Consider the following 17202-nt stretch of genomic DNA (forward strand, 5'->3'; position numbering starts at 1 on the left):
TTCCTGAACAGGCTGTGCATGCAGCCTTGACATAGCCAACTCTGCAGGAGCATGAAAGAACTGAAGATACAGTATTCGACTTCCAGTATTTCTAATCACTTTAGAGACAGGATGACGATTGGTTTAGAAGAGCCAGGGGATGACTAAGGAGCACATGTAAAACAATAATGTTCAGTATAGACTTTAGTTTCTGATTTGAAACATTTTCTAAAAAATCATGTATCTTTAAAAAATTGGAAGCAGCTCAGTGTTTGCTGGAGATGAGGCATAGAGTGTGGTGGAAGGGAGGGATGACAAAGGGGCAGGCAGAGACTTTGAGGGATGAGGGGTGTGCACATCACCTTGCTGGTGGGGACTGTTTCATGGTTGGATACATGTGTGAAAGCATATCAAATTGCATGCTTTAAATATGTGCAGTTTCCTGTGTATCAAGTATACCTCAATAAAGTAGTTAAAAATGGTATACCTTTATTATGCTGAAAGAAGGGAAAATTTGGAAAGGAGATGTTTTTCTGTAGAAGATAGCTTCTAGAAAGGAAAATCAAACACAGTCTAAGTTATTCTCTGTTTTGTTCTCCTCCCTCCACAGATGTCTTGTTGTTTTGGGTCCTCTTATCTAAAATTTCACAATATGTGAAAGTAGCCTGAACTCTAAAGGTAGTAGTTGTGGTTTTGGGAAACTGTGTGTTCGTACTGCCTCTGTAAATGGAACACAAGCCTCTCCTACCCTCTGGGGAGCTTGTCACTTAGTACAGTTTTTTAGGAACTCCTAAGAAGTTTAAGTTCTGGCCACAGGTCCCAGAGTTAAGGATGTTGTCAACTCTGCTACTCATTTGAAAAATGTCTTGTGGAACCTATAGCCGCAGAAAGAGCTTTGTTTCTCTGGGTGAAAACAACATACATTATCATTTCTAATAACTTTAATGGATGCTGCTGCTTTCTTCTTTTTGGCCCCCAAGATACTCAGAGATAAACTTGAAACTCAACTATAGGTGGGGGGAGGGGGAAGGGATAGCTTTAGGAAATATACCTAATGCTAAATGACGAGTTAATGGGTGTAGCACACCAGCATGGCACATGTATACATATGTAACTAACCTGCACATTGTGCACATGTACCCTAAAACTTAAAGTATTATGATAATAATAAAAAAAAAAGAAACTCAACTAAAGCATGGTCTGCATACTTGTGTGTATATTTTCGCTGGTCTCAAATTTCTATTTATTTATAGTTTTCTGGCTTACAGTCTATATTTGTGTAATATTTATATGGTTTTATATGGTTCTTGATGGAAATCCCCTAAAATCCTTTTCGTAGCGAGTCAGAGAATGAAATCTGTGGTTTAATCCACTGGCTTTTCTTTAGGCAAGAGACAGCTGTGCTAGAAGAATGGAGGATTATAATAAATTTGAAAAACCAGAACAGTTCTTCAGGTAAGCATGATCTGTACTCCTGACCTTAGGAATTGACTCTAGGTCCCAGATTTTGAATTTCTTATGAGCATAATCATCTACTTAAAAAAATCACTTAATTAACAGTGATTATTGAGTATCTGCATCTCCTCCAAGAAATAAAATGCCATATACATGACACACACACACACACACACACACACACTCTTGATAGTCCTACAGATGACTAATCACTCCCCACCCCCCGACTTCCTGCCTTTTCATTCATACATTGGGGTTGGGATCTCTGCTACCACAGGAGCTGTTGCAGAGAAAAAGATTTTTAAAATACTATATTATGTAAATTAGTACAACCATTATGGAAAACAGTATGGAATTTCTTCAAAAAACTAAAAATGGAACTATCGTATGATCAAGCAATCTCACTACTGAGTATATATCCAAAGAAATTGAAATTGGTATATCGAAGAGATAGCTGCACTGCCATGTTCATTGCAGCATCATTCATAATAGCCAAGATAGAGAATCAACCCAAGTGTCCATTAATGGATGAAGGGATAAAGAAAATGTGGTGCATATACACACAATGGAATACTATTCAGCCTTGAAAAAAAGGAAGGAAACCCTGTCATTTGAGACAACATGGGCAAACCTGGCAGATGTTACGTTAAGTTAAATAAGCCAATAACAGAAGGACAAATACTGTGTGATTTCACTTGCACGTGGAATCTAAAAGAGTTAAACTCATAGAAACAGAGAGTAGAATGGTGGTTACCAGGGCTGGGGGTTGGGGTGGAGGGCAGGTGGAGGTGAAGTTAGTCAAATGTACAAAATCTCAGAGAGGAGAAATAAGTTTTGAGATCTATTGTACAGCATGGCAACTGTAGTAGTTAATAATAATGTTTACTTCAAAATTGCTGAGTAAATCCAAATGTTCACACCACAAAAATATAAGTACACGAGGTGATGGATATGTTAGTTAGTTGAGTTAGCTAGCTAACTAACCATAGGTATAAGCATAGGTATAAGCATATAAAAATACCACATTTTATCCCCTAAATAGATACAATTATTATTTATCAGTAAGAAATAATAATATAACATAAATACTATATTGTTTCAAAATAGAGGGAAGAAAACATGCAAATAGTCCTAATGGATTTTTTTTTTTTTTTTTTTTAGTCTCCAGGCTGGCTTCCAGACAAGGCTGTATGGTGGCCCAGACTGGTTGAATTTTTTCACTTAACTTTTTGTTGATCTGCCTTAATTTCCAATAACTAGAGATTCTGATAAGAACTTTAAGAATAGGAATACTTCTGAGAATCTTAAGATGTTATTAGCCATATATAAGTAACCATACATTTTATAAAAGCATTTTTCTCTTCACAATAGCTGGAAGTGGAACATCCTAGAGAATAACTCATTTTTGAAAAATAGAATGTCTTAGGGGAGAACTGGCCTGCTAAGTATTACAGGGGAGGACTCAGGACAAAATCAAGTTATCAGATACCTGGGGCTTAGAAAGCAAGGAGTTAGAAGGTAGAAGAGGCTTACAGAAAGGAGGAAAGAAGATGCTGGAGACCCTCTTTCATCTATTATAGAACATTTTCTATGGCTGGCCTGTATTCAGAGAAGGATACCTATCTTGCTGCTTTCTGCACCAAATAGTTCCAAGATCCAAAATTCAAGCTAGTGCTCTTAGTGAATAGTTTGGTTATATTACGGGTTAAATGGGTTTTCCTATAAAGCTAGCCACCATTTATGGTATTTAGATCTACCACTTAGGAAGATTTCAGTCATATTCATGATTTTCAGGTTGTCCTCTCTCAGAACCCTGGTGTCATAAACTGTAATAGTTGTAGGAATTGTTGTAGTGGATATAGCAGTAATATTTTCTATGGAAAAATATAGAAGTTAATATATGCCAGGTACTGTTTCAGTTATGGACACTCATTTAAATATATGAAGTAGATGCTATTATAATCCCCAATTACAGACGAGGAAACTGAGAGACAGAAAAGTTAGATAACCTCCCAAGGTCATGTAGCTACTAAGTAGCAAAGCCTTGATTTGAACCTGCACTCTCTAGATCCCATTTAGGCTCTTAACTGCTATACTGTCTTAACTGGATTGAGGTTTTCCATAAAATTAAAGTTTCCCCTGAATCCACAGAAAATGTTAACAATATATAGAATTTTCTGGATTTAATTTTTTTCTGTCTCAAATCTTTGTATCTAGGATCACAGATAACTGAAGATTGAACAAGTTGCAAATTTCTTAATAGTCACATATGTATCATTATATACTCAGAGTTTAGCCAGATAACCCACCATAAATTGCTAATGAAGCTTAATAATTTATAGTGAAAAAACAAAAATAGAATTGCAAACCATAAGCAACTCAAGACGTGCACGGGGGATTATGCATCCTTCCCCCAGTTTACAGAAATTGCAACCATCAGCATATGCGTTCCACATCAGTGCCAGGCATTGTGTGGCAATCAGACTTCTTATCTAGAAACTCTAGAAATGTACTACTTTTAGTAATCCTAAATAACTTACTTAATAAGCTATATTACTTAAGCTATATTATGCACAAATATAAAGCTAGAAAACAAAAGGTGAACTTGGACTTCCTCTATCCTTTATAAAAATGGAAGGACCTGTGCTTTGCTGGATTGGTTTGCTGTTCAGGTGGAAACCCCTCGTGGTCCATTCAGTGGGCTGTGGGCGATAGTTTGAGAATCCTGCTTTAAAGGAAGAATACAGTTCATACATTTTATTAAAGACAGTCTGCTAAAGTGATGGAGCTGGAATTTTCTCAGTGAGAGCACTGTATAACAGGGTTTTCTGTTTTCCTTTTTTCATAACAAATAGTACTTCTCACTTAAAAACAATTGTTCCTTACAATGATGTCTGGGATTTGCTTCAAAATAATCCTGTGGGTAAAGAGTTGGGAATGAGTTGGGGAATAGGTGGAAGAAGTGGGATGAGGGGCAGATAATTGTCAAAGCAAGTGACATGGGGCTTCATGATACTGTTTTCTCTACTTTTCTATATCTTTGAAAATAAAAAGTTAACAGCAACAACAAAAACCTTCCTTGACTACTATCCTACCTACTTCATTTCTCTGCTCTTGTTCACAGCAGAGCTTCTAAAAGGAACTCTCTGTATATCTCATTTGTACATCCTCATCCTCCATTATTTAAGCAACCCATTCACTTGGCTGTCCTCCCCACCAGCCAACTGAAATTACCTTTTTAAGGGTCCCCACCAATCACCATCTTGCCATATGGGGTGGTTAATTCTCTCTTATGTTACTTGACTTTCAGCAGCATTTGATGCAATAGGTCACTTTTTGTTTCTTGGAGCATTTTCTTTTATTGGCTCATGTGCACCCACATGTTCTCATTTCTTCTGCATCTTGCTGGTTTCCAACAGCTGACCTCTAGCTGTTGGAAAGCCTCCAATGCTTCATCCTTGGGTTTCTCTGTACTCTTTCTGAGTAATCTCATTGGGTCCCATTGCTTTAAATACCTTCTGGTTGCTAACTTAACATCTGTAGCCCTGACTTCCAGACTTGAATCTGAGAGGCATCTCAAATTTAATGTATCCAAATCATAACTCTTAATCCCAGCCTTACTTTCTTCCTTTCTTCCTCACCTCTTGGTACCCCCATCTCAGTAAATAACACTGTTATATATCTGGCTGCTAGAGCCCCGAACCTTAGGCATCACCCTTGATTGCTCTTTTTCCCTCATATCCCACATCCAGCCTATCACTATGACCTATTGTCATATCTCCAAATTTACCTGAATTCATCTACTTTCCTCTCCTCTCCTGCTACCATCCCAGTCCGAACCTCTGACATCTCTCACTGGACTTCCATATCACCTCCTAATCCATCTCTGCCTCTGTGTTTGCCCCTGGCAGTCCATGGAGAGACCAGCCAGAGTGGTCTCTTTAAACTGAAGTGCCACTCCCCCACTTAAACTCACCCATTGGCATCCCATAGCACTTAGAAGGAAAGCCGAACTCCTTTGTGATGTACCTGCTGCCTATGTCTGCCCCACCCTGCCAGGACTCACTACTGCTGTCACACAGATCCCTTTTCTGTTCTTCAAATATACCAAGTGGGAGTCTTACCTCAAAGCCTTTGCAGTTCTCTTCTCTCTCCCTGCTATACAGATCACCATAAGGCTGGCTTCCTCTTACTACCTAGGTTTCGTCTTAAGTCACCTCCCTAGAGAGGTTTGACCTGACCACCCTATGTAAAGTATTCATATAACCCCAGGCCACACTCTATCTCATAGCCCATTTTATTTTAATTTATGTAAAGCATTTGTGTTTATGTATTATTTTTTTGCCCCTACCTATAAAGTCCAGAAGAGCAGCTACCTTGTTTGTCTTGTTCAGTGCTGTATCCCTGGCACCTAGAACAATGTCTGGAACATATAGAAGGTTAATGTTTATTGCATGAATAAACAAATGAATTACTTTGTTTGTGATTTAGGATCAAGGAACTTTTCCCCAAAGGCGAATCTGTGCAGTTTTATCCCACGCTTCTTCCCCATCCCTAAGTTCCTGCTCATCTGGACTGTGTGCTTGCAAACTGTGTAAAGACTTGTTCAACATTCTTAAATAGGTTAAAGAAGTACTGCACTTTGGGCTCTTTGTCATTTTCAAGTCACATTCTATCCTGGGCACCATCCGGAGGGGTCTTGTCCAGTTTCCTAGTTTCTCAGAAAGGAATATTTCATGGCTGCTCGCACGTCCTCTTCCCTTACAGTATTTGGACTTTACACCACTCATTGGCAGAGCCAAGGCCTACCCCATCTGAGCAAAGAGCAACAGAGATCTGTTGGCTCCATTCACTCCTTTGCTCTAAGACTCACTTGTTTCTTCTTATCTTTTCCCAACTATTTTTAGTTGTCAAATTGCTCCTTTCTTTCCCTTTCCCATCTATTTTTCTTTTCCTGTGGAAAACAACCCATATATTTCTAGTTTAGTCAGATTAGCTGCTAGGAAGGCCCTTTCTCAAGCTTATTTATATAACGAAAAGCTATACCCAAATCCTAATTTCATGTGACAATTGAGCAGCCTCTTGTAAAATAGCTAGAACAAGGGCAAGGATATTAATTTGGCTCTTGGACTGAGACACACTAGGGATGTCCCAGGGATTTGAACAATTTCTAATCTTCTCAGAGGAGGGCATAAGGAAATTCCTAACCAAGGTGAAATCTTTTGTCACATCCTAGAGTAGATAAGTACTTCAAGAATCTTCTAGACTGGGGATAAGTTGGAACTGCTAAATATTATCTACTTATCTAATGCATGTAATAATAGCTATCTATGTCTATTTTATCAAGTAGCTGGGAGGATAAGTTTGGTTTTTTTTTCAAGGACTTTTGAGCTTTTTCTTCAGGTAATATATCTTAAGGGAACACTTTATATAAAGCTAAGCCATTGGGAAATTTTTTCTGCCATAGCCAACAGTTTTGTAATTAACATTCCTTTGCATGGTATAAATACAAATCTGTTCTTTTGTCAGGATCATTCTTTATGAACTACCATATAAAAGTCATCTGGGCTGGGCACGATGGCTCACACCTGTAAACCCAGCAATTTGGGAGGCCAAGGCAGGTGGATCACTTGAGGTCAGGAATTCAAGACCAGCCTGGGCAACATGGTGAAACCCTATCTCTACTAAAAATACAAAAATTGGCAGGGCATGGTGGTGGGCACTTGTAATCCCAGCTACTTGAGAGGCTGAGGCAGGAGAATCACTTGAACCCAGGAGGCAGAGGGTGCAGTGAGCCGAGATCACGCCACTGTACTCCAGCAGGGTGACGAGCAAAACGGTGTCAAAAAAAAAAAAAAAAGCCATCTGGATAATACATATTCTTTATTAGTATTAAGTATTTACTTTTAGATCAATGAAAACATTTCTATGGGGCTAGACTTTTCCTTGTCAAGATTATAATTTTTCTTATGAGTTTTTACCTGAAACCCCTATTTTCTAAGACCCCATGGTTAATGAGTCTCTTTGACATTAATCATTTCAATTTTGCTGGTTCTGATGACCCTGTGCTATCTATTAGAGCTCTAACCCTTTGCAAACCTCTCTTCTGCCCTTGTCAGTGTCTCACGTGCTCACGTGCATCTTAGGCTGGATATCACGTGGCACATCCTGGTACCACCTCTGCTGCTTTCACTGGCCACTGTTGCATCTGTTTGGTGCAGCTGCTTCCTCCACTGGGACCAACCCCTCCTCTTCCTTACAAATATTCGGAGGTGGGGAAAATGGAAATGCTATCATTAGAACATCTGGCATCAGAATTTGCTTTATGAAGAAAATAATCTTGGGGGAAAACACTTTGATGAGTGCTTGCGGAAGAAAAGGAAACCCCAAAGGCCTGGGTATTGGGAGAGCTGCTTTGTGTAAGCCAAGGGCAAGCATTTACTGGTTGCTTTGAGAGTGAGGGGAACACATGAGAGAAAGAAAGAGAGGGGAGGGTGGAAGAATGGCAGGCATCAACTAAATGGCATAAAATTGTGGGGAGGGTCTTGATGCACCTGTTCCTCATGGTCTCCAGACTTTTCTGTGAAGTACAGCATGTAGTGTGGAGTGGATTTCAGGGGGTGAACTTGGAGATGCGTTCATTCACATCACAGTCAGTGCAGGTAGTGTAGAGACAACAGTCATGGGAAAGGGAGCCCAGGAATGAAGGAGGCCCTGAGAACATCATCCCTCACCAAAATGTTAAGACGGGTTTTGGGTTTCCAGAAGCTATAGAGTTGGTGGCAGTTTGAGCCAATTTTTTCCTACATCTTGAAGGGCAATAAGAATCCCACATAATGTCTGGGCCACATCTTGGTGGTACCTGGTATAACTTTGCCAAAAGAATTTTAAAACCACCGCAATAGGTAACTCAACTGCTGGTACTGTATTTTATGTGTGCTTGGTATGTTTATATGTCTTTAATTCTATTACAATTTTTTTATTGCACAAAGAACATTATAACAATGCATAATTATATATCAATAGCAATATTAAAAATAAAGACAAAAGGACACATTCAGCCAAATGTGCCTTCAGTGTCTGGCAGGCAAGTATGGCGTAGAAAGGGCAATAAGAGGCAGTTCCTGCCTTTAGGGGGCTTCCAGGATCGAGCCTGCAGTCCCAGCACCCTATTGAATCAACTGTTTCTGTTTTTCCATTTTAGTTGTGTCACTCAGGCTTTGGGTGATTTATTAAGAGAACCAATAAGATTTTGCTCAAGATTGGAAACAATCTCTTTCCACATCATTTAAGCCTCAGTTGAAGCTTCATTTTCCTCCTTCAGCTTCACCTGAGACTCCTTCTGGCAAAATCCCGCTGCTCCTCCTTGATCCTGTAGTTTTCTCTGTTTTAACCCTTGGAACATGATTTATAATTCGTGGGATGACTTTTTCTTTTTTCCCAGGAAATGATACCTTTCTTGAAGGCAGGAAACTGTGTTTTGTCTGTATTTTGTGAATCCCCACAAATATTTGCTGGATGAATGTTCTTGGGGACACTGCCCTAGATATAGTAGAAGCAGAAGTATTTCTCGGTTTTTGTGTTTTTTTCTGGAATGAAGGGTAAGGTGAAGGGTTATAGACAGAAATAAGACTGATTGAGTCATAATTGCACCTTTGTCAGTCACTCTTGTAAGAATTTTACATATGTTACACTTCACTCAGTCCTTATAACAACCCTATGAGATAGCAATTATCAGCTCCTCCCTCCTCTCCATTTTAATCATGACCTCTCAGAAACAGAGAGGTCAAGTGACTTACTCAAAGTCACAGCTAGTAGGTGGCAGTTAGATCTGAACTCAAATAGGCTCCAGAGACTGGGCTCTTGACCATTATTCTTCCTTTCCAAGGTTGGAAGAGACTGAGAGACCTCAGCTCCTGAACACCTGGAACTGCCAAGCCACAGCTGTTACTATTACTGTACTGTTACTAAAGAGCCAAACCAAACCACATGGCTGGCTCCTTTGGCAAGAACTTCCCCTCCAGATGTGCCTCTACTTAGCACTCTGATAGTGAGCACAGGTGAGTCCGAGGAAAGCAGGCCAAGAAGTGCTGATGAGTTTCTCTCTGAGGCCCAGGGATACCCAGCCATGCCAACAACCAGCCCTCCCATGCCAGTCCACGCCCTGTAGCCTGGCTCTCTTACTGCTTTAGGAGCCCTGGGCTCTCTTACACCTGTGTGGAAGAGGGAGGGACTCCCAGGAACATAATTAGGAGTGGGGGAAGGGAGGAGAAGAAGGGAGGGAAGAGGGGGAGGGGAGAAAGGACATGCATTTCTACCAGGGTAACTTTGGTTTCCTTATATTAATATAAGGGACTTGAACTGTGTTATTCTTTCTCAAATTGGGATTTAAGGCCCCAAGGAATCCAAAAATTCTATGAGAACTAGGTATTTTTATGTAAATGATTAACTAAAACAACGAATGTAACCTTATTCTGGATCATCTTCCAATGGAGTCCTGCCTCTTGATTTTACTTTCTGAGGTTATGTTTGTGACTGTGATGCATGCAAATCTCAGTCACCTACAGTGGCCACATTCAGACAATTTGAAATGCATTTTATATTGTAACCCAGCACACACACACATGTAAATAGAAATGCACCAGGAGTTTCCTAAAGTATTGCTCACCCTTTCTGCATAGGGAGTACCCTCTTGTCACCTCTCTTCTATTCCCAGGTAGTCATGACCCACTATCAGATTACAACCTTCAATAAAAAGATCATAGCATGTAACTGTAAGCATGATCAGTCTGCCGTTTTCTTTTGCAGTGGAAATGTTCCATTGAAAGACATTTTATAGAATACATCTTTACCACCCTAAGTTGTTTAACAAACTGAATCTTTGACTTGAGATCATGAGAACAAAATAAAGATATGAAATAATGACTGTTTTATTCTGAATTGCTGAAAAAATACCCAGATAGTTTAAAGCTGTAAATCAGAACAGGGCAAATCAGAGTCTCATTGCTGTAGGGGTATAGACAGAAATAAGACTGATAGAGTAGTAATTGCAGCTATACAATTATTTTCATCAAAACAACCTATATCAAAGTAGCCGTGTTATTTACTTTGTAAGCAGATATAGTGCATGGATCTCATCTCTGAATATGCCAGCTTAAAATTCATTAGCAGAAAATGTGGTAAGTGTACCATGATGACTTACTTTTTCATTAACTTAACATTTGGGATACACTGTATTAGGGTTCTCCAGAGGAACAGACTTGATAGTAGATAGATGATATGATATTAATAGATAGATTGACACAGAGAGAGTAACAGATAGGTAGATAAATATAGATATGAAATTTATTGTAGGTATTGGCTCACATAATTTTCGAGGCTGAGAAGTTGTGTACAAGATGCAGAATCAGGAAAGCTGGTGGTGTAATTCAGTATGTGTGTGTGTCGGGGTAGGGACTGGGGGTGTATAGGGTGGATATAGTATACGTCCCAGTCAGTGTTGGAATGTCCAAGAAGAGTGCTGTTGCCCAAATGCAGGAGAGGATGGATGTTCCAGCTCAAGAAGAGAGAAAATTCACCCTTCCTTGCTTTTTTGTTCTATTTGGGCCCTCTACAGACTGGATGGTACCCACCTACATTGGCAAGTGATATGGTTTGATTCTGTGTCTCCATCCAAATCTCATCTCGAATTGTAATCCCCATGTGTTAGGGAGGGACCTGGTGGGAGATGACTGGATCATGGGGACGGTTCCCCCATGTTGTTCTTGTGATAATGAGTGAGTTCTCACAAGATCTGATGGTTTAAAAGTATGGCACTTACTCCTGCTCTCTCTCTCTCTCTCTCTGGCCACTATGGAAGATCTGCCCCTTGCTTCCCCTTTGCCTTCTGCCATGATTGTAAGTTTCCTGACATGCATACTGTGAGTCAATTAAACCTCTTTTCTTCATAACTTACCCAGTCTCAGGTAGTATCTTTATAGCTGTGTGAGAATGGACTAATACAGTGAGGGTGATCTTTACTCAATCTGTTGATTCAAATGCTACTCTCTTATGAAAATACCCTTACAGACACATCCGAAAATAATGTTTCGCCAGCTATCTGGGCACCCCTTAAGCCCAGTCAAGTTGACACACAAAATTAACCATCACATACACTATTAAAGTGGCTGAATCATTTATTCTGGATTAGGGTGATTTTATCATTGTGGTGGTAGTTAATACACTTTTCTGTTTGCTATATTTCCTGTAAGCTAGTCGTTGAATCTAGAGGCTTGATTAGATTCAGGTTAAATATTTCAGGCAAGAATATCTTTTATTGGTGGTGCTGTAGACTTTCAACCATACCACATCAGGAGGTACATAAAGCCTGTCAGTCCCATGTGTAATGATCATAGATTGATTGGAGGTTTTGACATTTTCACCTTGATCTTTCCATTATAAAGTTCCTTATCAACCTTTCACAATGGTTTAATGTTTATTGATAACTGCCAAATTCCAGTACTTCATGAGGTGGAAGCAAAATGGTAGTTTCCTAATTCCTACATTCTTCTGCATTTATTAGCTGGTATTGATCTCTGAAGAACTTTCCCTCCTTAACTATTTGATTGGCCTTAGATGTAGTTCTTAGGCCCTATTTTATTTTATTTTTATCTATTTTTTTGAGACGCAGTCTCACTGTGTTGCCCAGGCTGGAGTGCAGTGGTATGATCTCAGCTCACTGCAACCTCCACCTCCTGGGTTCAAGTGATTCTCCAGCGTCAGCCTCCTGAGTAGCTGGGATTACAAGCACCCGCCACTATGCCTGGCTAATTTTTGTATTTTTAGTAGAAATGGAGTTTCACTATGTTGGCCAGGCTGGTCTTGAACTCCTGACCTCAGGTGATCCGCCTGCCTCAGCCTCCCAAAGTGCTGGGATTCCAGGCATGAGCCACAGTGCCTGGCCTTTAAAAAATGTTTATTTAAATAGTTTTGGGGGTACAGGTGGTTTTTGGTTACATGGATAAGTTCTTTAGTGGTGATTTCTGAGATTTTAGTGCACCCGTCACTTGAGCAGGGTACACTGTATCCAGTATGTTGTCTTTTATACCTCACCCCCTCCCATCCGGCCACAACAAGTCCCCAAAGTCCATTACATCATTCTTCTGAATCCTCATAGCTTAGCTCCCACTTATAAGTGAGAACATACAATATTTGTTTTCCATTCTTGAGTTACTTCACTTAGAATAATGGCCTCCAGCTCCATCCAAGTTGCCACAAAAGACATTATTTCATTCCTTTTTATGGCTGAGTGGTATTCCATGGCATATATACACCGTGTTTTCTTTATCCATTCGTTGGTTGATGGCCACTTAGGCTGGTTCCCTATCTTTGCACTTGTGAATTGTGCTGCTGTAAACATGCATGTGCATGTGTCTTTTTCATATGACTTCTTTTCCTCTGGGTAGGAACCCAGTAGTGGGATTGCTGGATTGAATGGTACTTCTACTTTTAGTTCTTTAAGGAATCTCTATACGTTTTCCATAGTGGTTTTACTAATTTACATTCCCACCAGCAGGGTAAAAGTGTTTCCTTTTAACCACATCCATGCCCACATCTATTGTTTTTTGACGTTATAATTATGTCTTAGGCTGTATTTTAAATCAGGGCTCTCTGAGCTTGATCTCATGTCAGCCATCATCATATCAGTGTGAAAACAGACTAGAACCAGGTATCAGTGATGCAGCAGCCAGGAGAATTTCTGGGCCAGGGGCCAGGCCACAAGCTGCATATCCCAATGGCCAACTGGTCATGGCTACTTCCTTTTTCTCATCTAGTGCAAGCTCAAGAGGTGTGGGATGGGACAATATTCCACTGTTCTGCAGGTAAATGTATCTTTGTGGGGCCTCTGAATGTCCTCTTCGGTCTGCTAGTCTCCTGACAAGGGGGGAAAACACTATCCAGACCTTTTCTCTGGGAGGCCATTTGTTTTCCTGTAATCTGTAGAAGAAACCAAGGTACTTTTGTGGGTGCAGCATCTCAGTTACTGGGGGAGCTTCTCAGTGTGAGCTCTGAATGCTTCAGGATGTCTTCCAATAGCCAGCCTTTCCTCTGTGTAAAAGGTTTCTCTGGAGTAATGGAGATAGCATGTGTGCAAGTAGGCAGGAGCTCCCCTTAGTGTCAGCTTGAGAGCAAGGAAGGGAGAGGAGAGCTATGCCTCTGAAACAATACCATTTTGCCCCCAATGCCAGTTTTATTTCAGAGATAAAATGCCATGCTTCAGAGCCATCAATGATAATTGTTTGAGATTGATGACCTTTGGAAGCTGACAGAATACTAACTTCTGGGAGAAGACTAGAGTAGATCAGGATGATTTCTTGGTATACTCTCAGCTGTTTCCCACCATGTGTTTCCTCTTCTTTCTGATATACAGCCAAAATACATTTCCCAGTCTGCCTTGCAGTTAAGGGAAACTGAGGTCTCGTCAATGGAATATGAATAGAGAAATGTGTACCACTTCCAGGCCTGGCCCATGAAAACCTCCCATATGCTCTCTCTCTTTCATCTTCCTTTTCCCTTCAGGCTGGCTGGAGGGGAGGCAGCTCCTGGGAGAGATTTGGAAGTTGGCAGAGCTGCTATTAAGCTGGGTTCCTGAATGATGGCAAGAAAGAGGCCCACTCCTCTATCGTATTCACCTGCCAAGTATTGTTTGTGAGCAAGAAAAAAAATATCTACTGTAGTTGAGGCCATCTTAAATACAGTTTCTCTTTTAAAGCCATTCCACGTCCACCATTTGGCATTAAGCGTCTTTAAAAAAAACTGTGAGTGCCCTGCCTTGCCAGTAAGCTGTTAGCAAGTCTTAACTCGGGAGATCTGTCTCTCCTGGCATTCTGAGAAGCAGAAGTCTCAAATTACTTCCAGCTGAAATGGAAAAGAAACAAAACAAAACAGAAACTCATCTGTGGTAGGCAGACTAATGTCCCTCCCACCGAGATGTTCATGCCTGAGTCCTTAGAACCTGCAAATATGTTACCTCCATGGCAAAGGGGACTTTGCAGGTGTGATTAAGGGTACTGATCTTGAGATTGGGAGATTATTCTGGATTATCTAGATGGGCCCAACCTAATCACAAGAAAACATTGGAAAAGGGAGGAAAAGAGTGGATCAGACCGATGCGATGTGATGATTTGACCCACTGTTGCTGTCTTTGAAGATGGTGGCAAGGCCTTGGAGCTAAGGAATACAGTCTCTAGAAGCTGGAATAAACAAGGCAATGCAATCCCCTTAGAGCCTCCAAAAGGGAGCACAGGTCTCAGAACTGTTAAGATAATAAATTTGTACTGTTTGAAGTCATTAACATTTGTGGCCATTTGTCATGGCAGTAGTAGAAAACTAATACACCATCCCATACAAAACACTTAAATGAAAAAAAAAATACATACATCTGTAGAGTAGGCACATCTGTAGGTTCTTAATGCCTGTCATCCTTATCTGGAAACTTGGGTGTTTAATGCATTTTGGCAAGAGTGATGCCAGTGAGGATGTTCCTTGGTAGCTTAAATATATCCAGGCTATTGCAATGATGCCTGACATTGAAGGGAAAATGCACACATTTAGTCAGTCACATGTATGATTTCAAATATCTGGATTTTGGAATTGTATAACCAGGTATATACCAGCTACATCTGAGGGGAAATTTTCCGTTTTCATCCAGATGCTCTGGTAAGTGCTGACATACCCAGACTATGAGAGATTTGGATCAAACTAAAGAAGTCCCCAAGTCTCAGGAGAACAATGAAATGTAGTGCGGGGTGTCTGCCGGAGTCATGGTGTACTCATCAGAATGAGCTGCTGAACACTGTGGTCAGGCCCTTGGCTAGTGACACCATTAAGATTTTGTTTCCTTCTAAATCACCACCCCTCCTCTACTGTTGAAATGTGGCTGTTTCATCTCTCCATTAGAGTCCTTCCAATTTACACCAAGCAAAACAGTTGGAAAATAAAACTTCATGGCCAGGCAGTGGGTAGGAGTGAGAGGGAGGAGGAAAGGATGTAGACACATAATTCAGAATCAAACATTGAATGAAGGACTCCTCGATTCAGACCCCATCTCACTTTGCCCATGGACTCAGTGTCTGACCTTGCATTACCCTCCCTGATCTTAACTTCCCAGAACTCTGACAGATGATTAATAATACCTGCTATACAAAGGGGGTGAGAACTAATAAATGGTAGTTAAGGATGATGAGTAAGCCGAGTATAATAGCTACTGCTTTCAAGATTTCTCAGAATCCATTAGAGTTTCTATTGTTTTAATGACTGTGATGAGTTCAGTAAGTCATTTCTGAGTTAGGCACCACTTATCTTTGTGTACTGAATATTCTTAAAGCCACAGTTACTTCCTTGCTGGGGTTATAAAGCAATTCTGAAGACCAAATCATGTTGCCTTTGTACATATCCATTGAGGTTTCTCTCTCTTACTCTACATGGAAATCCTGTAATACAGATTTCAGCCTTACACCGAGAAAATATATATTTCTGAGTCTTTTTTTCTTAATATATATGTGAGAAAACTCTAAAGTAAGAATAAATGGAAAATCATTAGAAGAAGTATAGAAATTACTTTGAAAGGGTATATACAGTCTAATTCATTTATTTTTATTTTAGAAATTTGAATGAATTATTTCAATAAATGTATATAAAAGATTTTACATTACGTTATACTCAGTTTTTCTTTTTCTTTATTTTTTTGAGCCAGTCCTCCGAGCCTGTTTCCTCAACTGCCCTTTTCTCCTACCCAGTACATCGAGCTGTTCAGTGAAAAAGAACAGTGTTTTGTGTGTATAAATAAATAAATAAATAAATAAAAATAAAAATAAACAGCTAACTAACGTAGGAAACCCTCCTTCTCCTTCCCCAACAAGTTGCCTGAAGAAATATGTATTAGCAAGACTGCTGGAAATCCACATTTGTTACATGAAATTAGGACATTAAAACTGTATCCTGCTGCTTAGTGCCCAGACCTTGTACCCCATGCAGCAGCCTGCTTGTCGGCCATGGAACAATGTGTAGCAAATGCCTTGGTGATGACATATCTGTCAGAGGGAAAGAAGGAGGGCATTGATTATCATAATGCGGCATAGAGCTCATTTCCTTCTGAAATTACCCAGAGATGCTTGGCTGGGCAAAGTACAGCAAGTCCCTGAAGGGGGCTGTAATTTCTCAGGCCTGTTGAAGGAAAGAAGAACAATATGTGTGTGAGTTGCTAAGTCTTTAGACGTTGGCAGTGGCAGCAGGCTGGTAATGAGCAGATTAGGTATTTCAATATGTTTCTTTGCCTCGGGAAATTTAACAGGTACACCTGTTTTCTTTCAGTGGCTGAAAATGTCAGTTACCATGAGCCTGGTGTAGTTGGCCTTTTTGAAAAAACAAGAGAGGTGGCCGGGCGCAGTGGCTCATGCCTGTAATCCCAGCACTTTGGGAGGCCGAGGTGGGCGGATCAAAAGATCAGGAGTTCGAGACCAGCCTGGCCAATATGGTGAAACCTGTCTGTACTAAAAATACAAAAAATTAGCTGGGCTTGGTGGCGCATGCCTGTAGTCCCAGCTACTCAGGAGGCTGAGGCAGGAGAATCACTTGAACCCGGGAGGCAGAGGTTGCAGTGAGCTGAGACTGTGCCACTGTACTCTGGCCTAGGCGACAGAGCGAGACTCCATCTCAAAAAAAAAAAAAAAAAAAAACAAAAAAAAGAAAAAAAAGGATGGACTGACACGTGGTCAGTCTTTGTTCTTC

At 40.4% G+C, this 17202-nt stretch overlaps 1 protein-coding gene across 6 annotated transcripts in view; it reads left to right on the forward strand.

Moving 5' to 3' along the window:
- CRADD (CARD and death domain containing adaptor protein) overlaps positions 1 to 17202 on the forward strand; it is a 217466-nt gene that overhangs the window by 111948 nt on the left and 88316 nt on the right. The window contains exon 3 of one of the 6 annotated variants that reach the window (XM_047429804.1): positions 9323 to 9489. The exons of the other annotated variants lie outside the window; for them this stretch is intronic. Coding sequence (XP_047285760.1) covers positions 9323 to 9354 — 32 coding nt within the window. The 3' untranslated portion in view covers positions 9355 to 9489. Of the gene's footprint in view, positions 1 to 9322; positions 9490 to 17202 lie in introns of those variants that run through there. 6 annotated transcript variants of the gene reach the window in all.

This window comes from Homo sapiens, chromosome 12 (assembly GCF_000001405.40).
Source record: "Homo sapiens chromosome 12, GRCh38.p14 Primary Assembly".
Classification (NCBI taxonomy): Eukaryota; Metazoa; Chordata; class Mammalia; order Primates; family Hominidae; genus Homo; species Homo sapiens.